Source organism: Homo sapiens, chromosome 5 (genome assembly GCF_000001405.40).
Source record: "Homo sapiens chromosome 5, GRCh38.p14 Primary Assembly".
NCBI classification, from domain to species: Eukaryota; Metazoa; Chordata; class Mammalia; order Primates; family Hominidae; genus Homo; species Homo sapiens.
The window spans coordinates 58,404,250-58,420,164 of record NC_000005.10 but is presented as its reverse complement, the minus strand read 5'-3'; the positions used below and the strand labels follow the sequence as shown (position 1 = coordinate 58,420,164).

Sequence of the window (15,915 nt, the reverse complement as noted above, 5' to 3'; positions counted from 1 at the left end):
CTAAGCAGCTGAAAACAGCAAACACTGATTATACCACTCAGTGTATGGTGGGTCAGGAATCCAGGAGAGGTTGAGCTGGATGATTTTGGCTGAGGGTAACTCATGAGGTTGCAGTCACACTGCCGGTCAGTGCTGTAGTCACCTGAAAACTTAACTAGGGTTAGATCCATTTCCAAGAGAGGTCACTCATGTGGTTATTCCACACCATGTAAGCCTCCCTACAGGACTGCTCATAGCATGACAGCTGATGTTCTCCAGAATGAGTGCTCTTAGAGAGTGAGAGTGACCAAGATGGGAACAACAGTGTCTTTAATACCTAATATTGGACATGCCATGCCATCATTTCAGCTGTATTCTACCGATCATGCAAACCAACCCTGGTACAATGTGGGAGGGGACTTCCCAGGGTATGAACTCCTGGAAGTGGGAGTCATTAGGGACTACCTTGGAGAATGGCTACCACATTTCCTTGCAACCCATTTCCTATCATGGGGATTATAGCACTCCCTGCTTAAGACCTCCCAATGTTTTCCCAACACACTTAACTTAAAATCTCCAATTTCCCCTTCTCAGGTAGAAGTCCAGTGCTAATGACCCAGGGGCCCAAGCTTCTTCCATTTTGTGTCTTTACCTTAGTCTAGGTTCTTGGGGACTTCCACTGATCCAGCAAACAATGAGAAAGATAGTGCGGAAGGTGTGTCCACATCTTAAACTTTTAAACTTCTAAATGGTACACATAATTTCTGCTTACATGTCATGGGCCAGAGATCAGTTTACAAGGCCACAAATAACTACAAAGGGTACCTGGGAAATATTATCTCAATATGTATAGTGGAAAAAAATGAAATGAAATTGTTTATGATGAACTGGCAACAGTTTCCATCATCTTCCCTTCTAATCTAGAACTTTAAAGGGTATAAGCTGTGAGAGTGAATTATACAAGTTACCATTATAATAAATTATTTATTACTGAATCACATAAATGCTTTATATATAAAAATGAATTATAAATTTATTTAAATGTACTAACACATTGAAAAGATGCAATTTAAGGGTTCATGATAACACAAATTTGCAAAACTCATGATATTGAAAGCTGTTGTTACAATGAAGTTCATTAGATTTCAGGACAGGTAAAACAATTTAGTTTCAATCTTTAAAAATATTGTGTACTCAGCACTAGCATACAGACCAAAAGAATGCAAAATCTTCTTTTCTGGATTATTTTAGATAAGAATTGATAACCTGAAAGTAGAATAATGATTTATTTATGAGTTGGAGACAAAAATACCTTTAATATGGTCTTCACTTCCCTTGCTAGATTAATCTGCTGAAATAAATACATACCACTTGCAAAGTGAAACTTGGATTAATTGAGTTCATATTAATAGAAAGATGATATACCAACTTCTATTTAACTGCCAGAGTTCTACGCACATTCTAAATTTTTCTATCAGGCTTCAGTGGTAATATCTATAGAATAAGTTTACCAAGTTTTTAAAATAGCTGGAGATAGGATGAGCAAAATGATATTATTAATAATAATGATTTAAAAAGTGAAAGAAAGAATCCTAATAAAGACAATGCAACCATAAATGTGTTGACAACACGATCAAAAATTGAAATTATTCAAGATAACAATTTCTTTGTTATGCTTTGAATTTTTCAAGGTTTTAGAAAGATGTCTGGAGTCAAGTGATATTTACCAATATGAATACTGATTCACCTAAGAGGTAAGCTTCAGATTCCGCAGGCATCAGGAACACATAGTGAGTACTACTGGTTTGTGGAATTGGCTGATATCACATCCTGGTATGGATAACTATTCTATGACAGTTAGGACCCAAGCCTCATTGCCACTGAAAGGAAAGGAGAAGCCTAAAAGAGTGGGAAGCCAAGTTCAAACACAAAGGTCAAAAGTATTGTGATTAGAATATATTAAATATCTCCAAAGCCCAATGGCTGAATAGAGCCTTTTTCATATTTAGAGGCACTGTTTGAGGTTTTCTCTATTTCTTTAGTCAAAGGAAAAGATCTGTGTAGTAACTAAAGGTCTTTAGTAAGTGTCTAGATGGGTATAGTTCAAGAAATGTGCTAAGCATATTTCTTGTGTTATGGCATGAAGCCTTTACAACAGCCTTGTGAAGCACATGCTGTTGTTAGAATTACATTTTCACAGATAAGAAAATCAAGTCTCAGGAAAGGAAAATTAATTTACTCAGTCACACAGCTAAAAATGACAGAGACTGACATCCTGGTCTACATGAATCTCAAATCCAAGCTCTTCACCACTATTTATAATGCCTCTAGTGAAGTGGCTACTCTAACCATCATCTCAAATATGAGCCCTAGAACTGAGTCTGTATTTGCACCTTATATGGTATCTAAATCTACTAGGAAGTTTAAAAATACCAAATGAGGTACGTTTAGACAGAACCTGAGGACAGCTGTGTTCCCCCACCTCTCTTGAGTAATTTTGCCTGTTCTGCAAGTCTGGTTCATTCCTCAACAGCTCTCAGTGTGCTCCCTGACCCACCCCACTGGGTCTGTGTCCCTCCTCTCTGCTTCTTTCATTGGTAGTGCATATGTTAGGACAGAATTGATTATTTTTTATTGCAATTGTCCTCTCGCACTATGTCATTCCCCCATATTATCAGCAGGGTCACTGAGGGTAGGTTAGAGCCTTGGAGAAAAAGAAATTTGGGGCCTCAGAAAAGACAGATTTGTACTGACATAAGTCAACTGCCATGTATTTTTATGCCTTCCCCAACATCCTTCTCACCTCCCCACAAATTTTAAGGAGGAATTTTAAAAATTCAAGCACTCTCTTTCCTCTGTGTTTCCACCATCTAAGATAGTATCTGGTATATATACCAGCAGGCAGCACATTTTGGTTCAACTGGTAAATATGATAATGGTATGTTTTAGATAGGTCTATAAGTCTGGAATAAGAGTAAATTTATTCTATACCATTGACTCAAGTTTCTCATGATCACTAAAACAAATTTGGCGGTGATTTTGTAATTGATCATTTCCTGTATAGATGTAATAGCATAGCAAGGTAGTTTCAAGCACTGTGTCTTAGTAGTATTATCTGTGAAATGAGGGTAATAATAGCATTTTTTCCTTAGATTTGTTAAAAGGATTACATGAACTAAATATTGTAAACTTTTTAGCATAGTGACTGACACATAGTAAGTAACAAATACATAAATATTAAGTAAAATTTGGATGAAGTCTGTTTTTCTACTAGACTGTAAGTTCTGTTATAGTAGGAACTGGAGTTGTGCCTGTTAGTGCTCATAATTTTGTTATGAGTACCTAGAAAAGACCTTCAGTAGGTATTGATTAAATAAATAGCCTTAAAAAACACACACGGTGTTACTTAAATCAAAACTTGTATTTTTTTATTGTGTAAATTTTCTAGCACGTCCTCAATGACGCCACTGCCCATCTAATATACTTTGAATTTCACTTGGATACAGTGTTAATGAGAACAGGCTGCTAAAAAGCAATTACATTCAGATATTCATGAATGTTTAGGAGAGAGAGCATGAGGCCATGACGGGAGGTGGAAAAGAAAAGACTAGGACAAATTTGAGACTTCCTGTGATGAAGAGAAGAGGCAGGGAGCATGCTGGCACACTCAAAGGGTTTAGCTGAAGAGAGTTTCATGAATAAACTCTACTCCTTGCAGAGGTGTGGCTGAATTAAGGGAAGGAGCAATGGATGGTGAAGCTCTCAGGAAATGGCAACAGTGGAAAACTATTAGCATGGGGTGGGATGGGGAGTGGGAGGCAAGTGGAAGCAGTGTTATTGGATCCCAAGAGAGCTGGAGACCTGGAGACACAGAGGTGAGACCACCTGAGAGTTCAAAAGGTATAATCCTAGAAAACCACCAAATCCAGCAAACAGGCAAGCAGGGAGATGTGAGTGGTGGGCTTGGGAATCAATACCTCTATCTCTCTTTTACTTCCAGCCTTTTCATCTCTCATTGGTCAAACCCAACAAGAAGGACAAGGAGACCTGGATTACACAATCAGAAAAGGTGAGCCCTTTGGAGCTGGAAGCAGGGCATAGAATGATGGAAGGTGGATCTGGAGGGGTAAGGACCAGCACAGCAGACACAATCTCAGTAATTGATAGGGTTAGGTAGGGGAAGCAGAGCTGAAGTATAGGGTGATGCTAGTGCCAGTAATTAAGGTAGAAAAGCAAATGCTTTGTCCCAGGGCCTTGAAATTCAGAGAACACAAAGACTTTAAATAATGATTTGTAAAAACAGATTAAATTGTGAAGTCATCACCCTCAGTAAATTTATCATTTTGATGACTGGGCCCCATACAGAGTGGTGGGTTTGTGCTCTGCACAGAGGTGCTCCACTAAGGAGGTAGGTGAGGGTTGACATCCTGCCCTCATTTGTGCTCTAATTCACCCTCCTAGAGTTAGCAGCACTTCGTAATTTGCACAAAAGTGCCACAAAAACAAGCTGCAAAAAATTGGCAATTTGCTCTGGCTCCTAAAGCTGATGAATAAGCCCAGAGATTCGAGGTCAAGTCTGAAATGAATAAAGGCATCAGTATACCCTTCAGTCTACTCATACTTGTAATAGTATTTATATAGAATAGACTGTCAGAAGTGGAATTCTTAATCAAATGATAGGTTTATTCATTTTTTTAATAGACTGGGGCCAATATATGGACTTAAAAGTTTTCCAATAAGTCTATTATTTTGACTTTGACTCTAGTGTAGCCTAGAGTAACTTATCAACTGTTACCTTGCCTTGATTTTCGATTAATAATTGATATCAACAACAACAGTTCATTTCCCAGCTTTATAACTGCTGGGTTTAAGAGATCTTCAAAGCTTTACGCTTGGTACATGTCCTTCTAAGGATAGGTTAGTATTCCAAATCTCCAGATGAATTTAAAATTACACTAGTTATGGGGAAAGGAATGTTTGAAATTGGTTCTTCTCAGGTTTCCTGGGCATTGGACATACATCCATTACATTTCCAAAAGGTAGAGGAAAAAGAGATGAATGGACAAGAGTCTTTATTCTACTCACTCAGGCCACAATTTAAAGACCACAAAAAAGAAAGAAAAAATATTACTTTGACTTCTTCCAAACTATAAGAGTAGGTATTTTTCACATTTGTTTATACATTCTCTTCTCAGTAGAACATGGGCTTTCCTTCCAAGCTGCTGGAGCTGAGATTTTCCAAAGTAGAAATTTGTAGTCAGGGAGCAGAATATCGAATAACGCATAAAAAAGGATCTTTCTGGTTGAGTTTCTTTTATATAGCTTGCAAAAACGGATTTGAGCACATGTATGTCTGTTCTTGGCTTAGTTTATATAATCAAAAGATTATTGAAAGAAAAGCCATTTTGGCTTGCTCATCTGTCTAGATGGCATTACATCTTATGGAAATGTCTGGTACAGGTCTTCAATTCCTTTCCTCCAATTCTGAAATTCAAAAGATCTGAAAAAATGAAAAGATTTTTGTAACTTGTTCGGTGACAAAACCTTATTTGGCCTGAATCATTTGGCAGTAAATGTTGACATGAATTGACACAGGTCTATTTATAATGTTTTTTCATTCCTCTCAGAGTGAATATTAGCATATTTTAATGTAGTAGTGTGGTAATTATAAGATGATGCCCTAGACCTCTGATGGATCACTGCTGAGGATTCTTTGTAATATTTGGTAGATGCAATATATTGTGATTCAAAAATTCTACAAAATCACATAGTACAAAAACATCTGGCTCTCAAATTGTCAGATGCTTAGTGTTAGCTGTCGGGCTGCAGGCCAGTGTTGATAGGAGACATAATTATCAACCAAAGTCTAGCTTCTTTCTCAAAGAAGAATTGAAATGCCTGTGTTTTTTTTTTCTTGTGTCTCTTATAATGGATCTCTTTCTTATATGCTAAACATAATAGATGTTCAGTGTATACTGCTGATTTAATGATAATTGGGCAATATAGCTGGAAGCAAGAAAGATGAGGCATGAATGGGATAAACGAAAATGTGGAGAGAAAAAGATATATCTCTAAGGTGACAGAAGCGGAATAAATTTTCCAGAAGAGTAAGGTTTTGAGGAGGTAGAATTCTAAGAGGTGAGGCTTCCAAATGTAAGGTCTTTTAAAGATGCTCTTTCTTGCAGAGAAAACTAAAAATGATTTTTTTATCCTGTGCTTAATATTAGTCCAGGATACCTGTAATGTATTAAATACATTGTTTTCTTAAGGATGAAATAATTGAGCTACCTAAAATAACTAAAATCAATTAATCAGATAGCAATAATTTAAATCATTCTAGCTGAGTACAATATTCATAATTTAGTTTAATCTTCACAAAAATCATATGAGGAAGTATTGTTTTTCCCATTTTAAAGATGAGGAAGTTTCTAGATAAGTCAAATAACTAGTTCAAAGTAATATAATAGTAAATAGCGACAGAACATTCAGCCCAAGCCGAGCTCAGATACTTTGTGTTTAATTTACTGTATTGCACTTGATTCTGTCACACTATGAAATTCGTGGTTAAAAAAAAGTGGACAGTCCTTTGAATAATATAATACAGTATAATATGTGCTGGGTTTCATGTCTCATGAGGACTTAGTTAAGAGTTATCAGAAAAAAAAAAGATTGTTCAAACAGGACACATGCAGTGAACAGAAAGTCCTAAAACAGTGCTTACACAAATAGGAATTTATGTTTCTCACAAAACAAAAGGTCTGGAGGTGGGTTGTTCTCAGCATTAATTTAGTGGATTAAGGATGTCAGGTTGAATTTTTGTGATTTCTTGGCTTTTCCCCTATGGTCCAAATTTTCTGCTGCAGTTCTAGCTTTTATGTCTCCACTCAAGGTAAGAAGAAAGGGTTGGTGGGAGATAGAGCAGCTATGATTTCTCTTTTATCAGGAAAAAAAAGGTCTCCTTAAAGTGGGGAAGCCCAGCAGTTGCCTAATTATGTGGTCTCATGGCTGCCCTTAGGCGAGGGGGGGAGAGAAAGTGAAAAGCAATGTTGTGATAATTAGATCAGTCCAATAATAGCCCATCATTGAGGGCATGAGTCAGTCCACTTGCAAAGGGCCACTTAGTAAGTATTTTAGACTTTGCAGTTTAGATGTCTCTGTAGCAGCTACTCAACTGTTGCAGTGGAAAAGGAGCCCAAAAACAATATGTAAATAAGTTAGTTCCTCTGTGTCCAAAAAAGAAAAAAAAGAAACTTTGTTTACAAAAACAAGCAAGGGAAGGTCAGCATGGTGGCTCATGTCTGTAATCCCAGTACTTTGTGAGGCCAAGTTGGGCAAATTGCTTGAGCCCACAAGTTCAAGACCAGCCTGGGCAACGTGGTGAGACCCTATCTCTACAAAAAATACAAAAATTAACCATGCGTAGTGGTGTGCATCTGTAGTCTCAGATACTTGGTAGGCTGAGGTGGAGGAATAACTTGAGCCCAGGAGGTCGAGGCTGCAATGAGCAGTGATTGTGCCACTGCACTGCAGCCTGGGTGACAGAGTGAGACCCTGTCTCAAAACAAACAAACAAATAAACATAAAAACCAAAAACAAGCAGTGGAGTGGATTTGACCTGTAGCTGTAATTTACCAATCTTTAACCTAGAACTTGGTGCATTGCTGCCAAGTCAAATTGGGGTTTAACTATTAGCAAGGAAAAGGATTGGGGGTTATTGAGTAGAAAATAACAGTATCTGCAATTGCAGATAGAAACATTCTCTGGACTTTCTCTTTTCCTCCTAGTTTTCCAAGTTGCAGTGGGAGGGTTTACACTGTTGCACTATACAGTTGTAAAGTGCTAGACTTCACAGCATTCCATCAGGAGAACTTGCCGGGAGTTGGTTAGACAGGCTTGAGGCTGGCTGTTGGCCCACACAAACTGAACTCTCTGCTTTTGGTAATGACTGGCTGAGTGCTGGGTACCAGGGTGTGGTAGACAGTGATTGCTGCTTGCCCATTATCCATTCCCCTCTTTCTTGCTCACTATTTAGCAAAAGGAATTAATATGCTCAGAGACAGAAGTATATTTCCAGCCTCCCGTGCAGCAAGAAGTGGTCATGTGGCATCATTCTGGCCAATGAGATACACATGGAAGCCTCTGGTTGGGAAAGTTCTTTATAGTGGTAGCCTCACTTGGCAAAAGCTTTTGACCTTCTGTCTCCTTTTGCCTTTCCTGCTTGGACAGAGTTATCTTGCAACCACAGTGCAACAGGTGTGAGGGTAAAAACTATCTGCTAAAATGACCAAACAGCGGGGTCAAAGAAGCCTAGGTATCCGAATGACATTGTGGAGCTGCTGTACCAATCCTGGGCTGCCTGCCTCTGGACATGTTATTACAAGAAGAAAGGAAAACCCTTAAACTGTTTAAGCCATTGCTTGGTTAGAGTTTCTGTTGTTTAAAGCAGGATGCATTCATGACAGATATACATCTTGTCATACTCGACAGAAAAAAAGAAATGGCTCTCCTTCCCACCTAGAGGTCAGGAAAAACAAGACTCCTCATTTCTGCTAACTCTGTGGTGAGACATTAAAGTTACTCTTAGTCAGGGTTAGTCTCCTGTACTTTTTGCTGTGTTTTGATTAAGATTGGCTTAGTGTATCCCATTGCAGAGAACATGCTGTTAGGTGGTGGCTGAGATCCTGATTTTCCACTTTGGTTCCCACCACACCTTATTTGTTTATTAGGTCACAGAGGTTTATGAAAATCCATTCAAGCAATTTAAGTTATGGAGACTGCATTTTCTCAGCTCATGTGTTGAATGTATTTTGAGGTGCCAAGCAACTAAATTTACTACAGGATTAGGAATATTTCATCATATTTCAATTGGCTTACAGGTTGGCCTTATATTTTCTCCACATTTTTTTCTTAAGTCATATCTGCACTGTGAGCAGTAAACTTGGTCATAAAGTCTCTCTTGCTTGATGCATGCTGTGTCTGTCATTGAATTGCAGCTTTGTACTCCCTTAATGATGTCTCTCAAAATCCTTCAGTCTCAATGCAGCATGTTTAACTAAACGTTTTAAACTGCTTTTTGAAACTTAAATATTCTATCTCCTTTCTTCAGGACTTCGAAAGTGGTACAATTTACTTAGGAATGTTCATAAACGATAGGCATTAGGCATTTGTTTAAACCTGTTTGATGGCTGTTTAATTTCCTTGAAGCTAAAACAAAGTCTTAGATGAGAACATAATATTCTACATTTTTATTATAATCACATATTATAAATGAGATTACTGAAGTACCTTGCTTTTCTTAAACCTACTACTTTAATTACCTTTGTTTTCACAAAAAGGTTCTAGAATTTTTGAAGAGCTTATGTCAAGTGTATACTTTTTAAAAGTAACCGTTTTCCAGAGTTTAACAATTTTACATGCTAAAGAAGTTGCATATTCTGATACTGATTGCATCTGCTCCTCATTCTCCTCTGACCAGCTCTATCAACTAAGGACTCTGCATTGTGAAACCAGAAACCGATGATGTCATGTCTGAGAATTCCATTGTACAGCATTTACAGTGGGAAAGGAAGTATTTTTTTTCTTGTTCCTCTTTGTATAAAACACCATACTATTTCTCATTTGCCTAAAATAAATGTGTTCTATGCCCAACTGTTACTCTGAGATGCCTATATGACTTAGAGCCAATTATCTAAATTGGCAGATAACTAAGTCAGAGAGATTATTTTTCAAAATTACAATAAGAAATAGATTATCTTTAAAGGAAGAGTCTTGTTTTAAAAGCTTGAATAAAGGCAACAATATAAAGGAATTATTTCTAGCTAGTTTATGGACAATAAAAATAGGATCAATGAGAAGGTATTTGGTTAGATTACAATGTACTTCTTTTTGGTTGTCTGCTGGATGTTTCCATCAACTTAAAGCCCTGACTACTTGGTATTTCAGTATTATGTTCTGAAACAGACTCTTCAAGGCAGTCACTATTTGGACTCAGTAAAAACAGTTAAAATAACCAGGATTTATCAAACACTGACCATGTCCTAGCATGGCCTTACTGGCCCACAGGAGCCTTCATGTATCTTGGAAAAAAAGCCCTCTAGGTGGTGGGTGTAGGGCTTGACAAGCAATAGTACCAGAGTTTTGAAAGGTACCTCATCCTCTGAGCAGATCCAGCCCCATGCCCATGTTAGGCTTGGAGAAGAGTGCTGGATTTTAGCCCCCACTTGCTCCCTCAGCAAAGCACCCTGCTTCAGAGTGCAATAGACACATTCATACACAGTGTGAAGGGCTTTATGTGGATTAACCCACCTGATTGGGAGGATAAAAACTCTATGACTGGAGAACTGTTATTGGAAACATAGTGAGCTTAAGTAATTTGCCTAAGACAGTGTGGTGAAGAAGAAGGGCAAAAGGGACTTTCTAGTTTCCAGGGTAGGGCCCCGGTTGTCCTGAGAACTTATCCTGCAATAGAAGAAAACTGTCAGTAATCTTGATATTTGTATGGAAAATTTAACAGAGCTAGAAATGCATCAGAACTCAGGTCCAGATTTTATAATCATGGGAGGAAAGAAGCAGAACTTGCAACAAACTGAGAAAGCAAGCCTAATGAAAGAGGTATAACAACAGTTCCTACTAGGAACCCCAAATATCTGAGACAGTTCTCTGTCAATTTAGAAAGTTTATTTTGCCAAGGTTAAGTGTGTACCTGTGACACAGCCTCAGGAAGTCCTGATGATTTGTGCCCAAGGTGGTCGGGACTACAGTGCTTTTATTTGTTTTAGGCAGATATGAGACATCAATCAATATGTGTAAGATGTACATTGGTTTGTTTGGGTAAGGTGGGACAACCGGAAGTGGGGGCTTCTAGGCTAGAAGCAGATAAGGGACAAAAGATTTCATTCTTTTGAGCCATTGATCAGCCCTCCACTGAATACACAATTTAGTCTGGCTCAGTGAATCTGAATTTTTACATAAACAATAGGGCAGAGGAAGCAATCAGGCATGCATTTGTCTCAGGTGAGCCTCAGAGGGATGACTTTGAGTTCTGTCTGTCCTTTGTCCACAAGGAACTTCCAGTGGACAAATTGCGAGGGAGTTATGTAGCTTCTCATCTTTGTGGCTATCTTACTTAGGAATAAAATGGGAGGTAGGTTTGCTTGACATAGTTCCCAGATTGATTTTTCTCCTGGTTTAGTGACTTTGGGGTCCTGAGATTTATTTTCCTTTCACACTACTATCCTCAGAAAGAGGATGGTGAGAGGATATTGAGGGTTGTATCACTATAGCCATCTTTCCCTTTCACTAGTTTGATATGTCTAGAACTGAAAAGATCAAGATGTGAGGAGCATGGAGTTATATCCACACATCACCCGTGGGCTCCAAATTTCCCCAGGATTATTTAGTGTCATTAGACATGACAATGAGAAGGGGACAGAGTAAGGAAGGAGTGCCAAGGGCCATGCTGGGGATGAAAGATGTCAGATGGGCAGCTAGAGAAACCACACAGTGCCACACAGGAATGGTGGCTAAGGTGAGGACAAGTGACTGTTGGGGTTAGGCAGCAAGCATTGGGATCTCTGGAAGAGAGAGGGTGACATGGTCCCATCTGAAAGACACATGACCCCACAGTCTTCTGCCAGAACTAAGAAGCATGTTTGGGAGCAGCTCAGCATTAAAGACTTTAGACTCTTTCCCATGCATCCTGTTTGAACAATATATATGTATGTATTTCCTCCTGGAGGGCAAAAGCAAGAATTGAAAAAACACAGGCTGTGATAAATCAGAAAGATTTGTATAATACAATAAATAAAAAAGGGTTGGACATCTTTAGGAAGCAGGAAAAACTCCAGCAGTTAAAACTGAGAACAGAGTGTTCAGGAGGTAATGAATAGGCCAATCTGGCTGAGGCAAAAAACTTGTCTGGTGAGATAGTAAAAGACAAGATTGAAAGGTAGGTAGGAGCCAGACTGCAGAAGAGTATGAATTCCAGGAAGAAAATCTACATGTTTTGAACATCTTTTATCTGCTAAGCAATTTAACATACATGAAGTCATTCCATCTGCACTATAGTCACCAGTTTTATTTTTAAATTTATTATCGTAGTTCTCATTTTACTGATGAGGAAAATGAACTTCAGAGAAGCTAAGTAACTTATCCAAGTTTAGAGGTAGACAAGAGATTTGAACCCAAGTTTATCTGAGTCCAAAACCTGAATACTTTTTGCTGTCCCAAGATAGTAGAATTTAACGAGGGGGTTCTTCAGAAATATCATGAAATTAGTGTCCCAGGAAGATTAAAGTATCTATGGTGAACTGAAGCAGAAAGCCAAGTGGTATGGAGCATTTTTAGAAAGTCATTTCGGAGCACAGCCTAGACCAGGGTGGTGGTAATGGAAAGGGATTGACATCAGAGACCCTCCTAAAGAAGAGTCTGCAGAATTGGTGTCCGACTGAATAGCTGATGAAGAAAAGGGAAGAACCAGGCTAAGCAGTGAAAGGAAGACTTGATATGAATTTCTGAGACTGAGTGTCAAGCCTGGTTCTGTTTGTAATGTGAATTTGCCAAAAGCAGGATCTCTTGAAACTGCATGGCCTTGTCTGCAAAGCAAAGATTGGATTAAGTATCCTTTAAGACTTTACCCAGCTCTGAAATTCCTGACATCTCTGACTCAAAGATGACTCAAGGTTGCAAGTTTGGGTGGCTGGAAGAACATTGTTTGATTGATGCAAATACACTGATATTTCCTAACAGTGTATTATAATGTTTTGGGATGGAGAAAAGGGTTTTCAGCCTTGTTTGTGGCTTTCACTCATATGCACCTGTGGGCTTCACCTGATTTTTGCACTGTGAAAATCCCTCCATCCCCTTTCCATTTACCATCCCTCTGTCTTCTAGCCACAGCTCTGCATTCCAGTTCCTAGTTTCCCCTGCCTTTTGCTGATTCCACACTGACTAATCACTTTTAGTCTTGCAAAGTGTCTATAGTTCACTAGTCTGTAGCTACCAATCTGCTAACTTTTTCTTGTTAGGATTAACAAAAGACAAGACCAGAAAACCTTTTCATATAAATGATTTGCCAAAGAAACCTTTCCAGTTCAACAAAAGAAACGGTGTATCTTGAAGTCATCACCACAATAAGATCTAGAGTATGGATAGAAACTTTTTCATCACCACGATAAGATCTAGAGTATGCATAGAACTTTTCTCCAAATAATTTTAATCCTCTTTAACAAAAATACAACATATGAAAACATAATTGGTAAAATTAATGAATTAGGAAACCATTTCCTTCTTGGAAAGAGCTTTTCAGAAGAGACTCTCTTAAATAGTGAAATTATCTGAAGCATTTAAAATATGACTCAAATGTTAAAAAATGTTATTAGCATGACAGTTTAAAGCATTTACATACATGTAACATAGGGTACACTTGTGAAAGGGAAGGTAACCATTGTAATCACATTAGTAATCAACCTAAAACAATGTTTGGAGAAAGTAGGCTGCACCTAATGTTCCAAGATTTTTGCTGACTGAGAAGCACCACAGGAAATATGGTAATAAACTCTTCCCCAACATTCTAGTTGAGATGAGATTTGCAAAACAATAGGGAGCGCTGGTCATCAAGGTGAATTCTTAGACATCTCTTGACCAAGTCATTTTCTTCAATGAATCAGGTAACACTGCAGACAAAAAGGCCTAAATTTTCACCACATTCTTGCAAAGCAGGGCTGCAAGGCAGCGTTGAATCCTTTAGTGAGACTAAGTGGGCCACTGGCTTGTTATAGGTCTTCAGGGATTTCAGAAAATTCCCCTGTCAGCCACACGTGTCTCTCAGACCTGACATTCCATTGTTAGAAACTTTCTTTAATGTTAAGGAATTTTGATTCCAAGAATATTAGTTAAATGCAAATACATGACCTGGATAACAAAACACAGATATGGCATCAATTCCTGCCTCTACCACTTAGTGTCTTTGGAGTTTTAGATCATTTATACAACCCCTTTTTGTCCCTCTTAACTTCACAAATTTGTCTTTGATAGTATCTTCCTGTAATGGAGTTCATTATAGAATTATTTAATTTTCAAATGAAGAAATTAATGTCACCTGTCATGGAATCATAGAATTGGATGAATGTCTAAAAATCTCTTTTATACTACAAGTGATGGATCCCATAAAGGCAAAATAACATACCCAAACCCCAATCCAATAAATGCATAATGTGCTGAGCAGGTCAGCTGGGGAAGAGCAGAGGAGCTTGGCATAGCTCTTATCTGCTACTGCCAATGCTTAGGAAGTCTTAAGTAACCATAATAAAAATAACAAAAGAGTGTGTCAAAAAGGCAGAGAGAAAGCGAAGACCCAAACTTCTGAAATTTAGTTATAGATCCCAAATTCCTAAGCTAAACTTAGGAGAAGGGCTAAGAGGTGCAAGCTCACATGCAGACATCTCACAAAGTCACAAAGATGCTCTTTTTGAGACCCACTCAGGAAGGGATCGTCTAGGTGGGTTTGAGTACTGTCCATATTACAGCAATTATCTTCTTTGCTTAGGGATTAAAGCAAATGTTTTATTCTGAATCTTTTTAGTGGAAGAGGAAACATCAAGACTCTAAGACAGCAATATTATATAATTTTTTTCCTCTGACATCCACACTCACCACTGCCATTCCTACCTCAGTTGTTGAGTTACTTTATTGTTGCCTCATGCACATGCTTTTCTTGGCAGTAGAGAAAGTTGAGAAAGGAAAAGGGAGTGGAAATAAGGATGAAGAGAGAAAGACTGAATAGCTGGTTCTTCCCCTGCTGCAGGCATTATATATTTCCTCACTGAAGTCAGCGATTGCCTGCTCAGGCAGGCAAGGGTGAAGCTCCCTGACAAGCTAGGGCTCCTCAGCTTGCCAAAGTCGACTCTGAGGATGCTAACTAGTTTCCCAGTCCTTAATCTACAGAAAACATCCCCAGAAAAACTTGTTATTTCTAAAAGCCTTCAAAAGCTGTTCTACTAGATTTTGTGTTTCGTAATGTGGATTGGGAGAACTATCTCCATTGCCAGTTCCTCCGTTATAAATTGATTACAAGTTGCCATCCAGAATTGGAGTTGAAGAGCTACCAATGGCCATTTCTCTTTTCCCCGTTCACCAAACGTTTACCATTGCAATTGACAGTGTACTTGGTTTAATAGGCTTACCTGACTTCTTCTGAATCATGTGCTGCTGAAATGGTTGAACTTCTATTCACAAAACCATATGGAATTCACATTCCAAAGAGGCTATTCCCTGAAGTAGACAATCATCTTTCCAGTAAAACACTGTGTCAAGCTACAAAGTGATGATTACTCTTGGGTGGGGCTTTGAGTTTCTAGTTGGCAGATAGTTTGTTTTCTTAGTCAAAATGGCAGTACCTAAGCAGCCTTATTTTTATCAACAAATTAATTGTTTAAACTTCTTCAAGTAATTAAAAACTAAACATCAGAAGAGTAAAATGTGACATTTCCTAACATGGTAGATCACACTGTATCTGCACCTTCTTGTGCCAAACCCAGGTAACCACGTTTGCAATCTGACAATAATTGCATACAGTTACTTGCATGCAAATAGCAGTAGTCTTTGAAATACCATTCGATGAAAAGACATACAAAAGAATATATGATACCAACACAAATTTAACATGTGTTAAATAAGAAAAATTTTGATGCAGATAAAAGCACAAATCTAAACAGGCTTTTCTTGAGAGTATGGTGGGGGTGGGGAGGGGTACAGAATAAGAAATATTTATTACTATTATGCACCTAAAAGGTTTCAGTTAGGTGTATATAGTATTTTTTACAAAACATGTTTTTAAGGGTTCCATACCTATATATTTATACCGTAGAGTTGTATCCATGTCACATACATTCTTTCCATTAGCGATCTGAACACTGAGATATGTGAATTATTTCATAG

At 38.2% G+C, this 15,915-nt stretch overlaps 1 annotated feature.

Annotated features, from left to right (window-relative positions):
- Positions 13,250 to 13,898: an enhancer, noted in NCBI's record as "OCT4-NANOG hESC enhancer chr5:57702094-57702742 (GRCh37/hg19 assembly coordinates)". NCBI's record gives its function as "activates a minimal SCP1, AML or CMV promoter by ChIP-STARR-seq in naive H9 embryonic stem cells {active_cell/tissue: H9 hESC(naive)}" and the evidence as "EXISTENCE:reporter gene assay evidence [ECO:0000049][PMID:30033119]".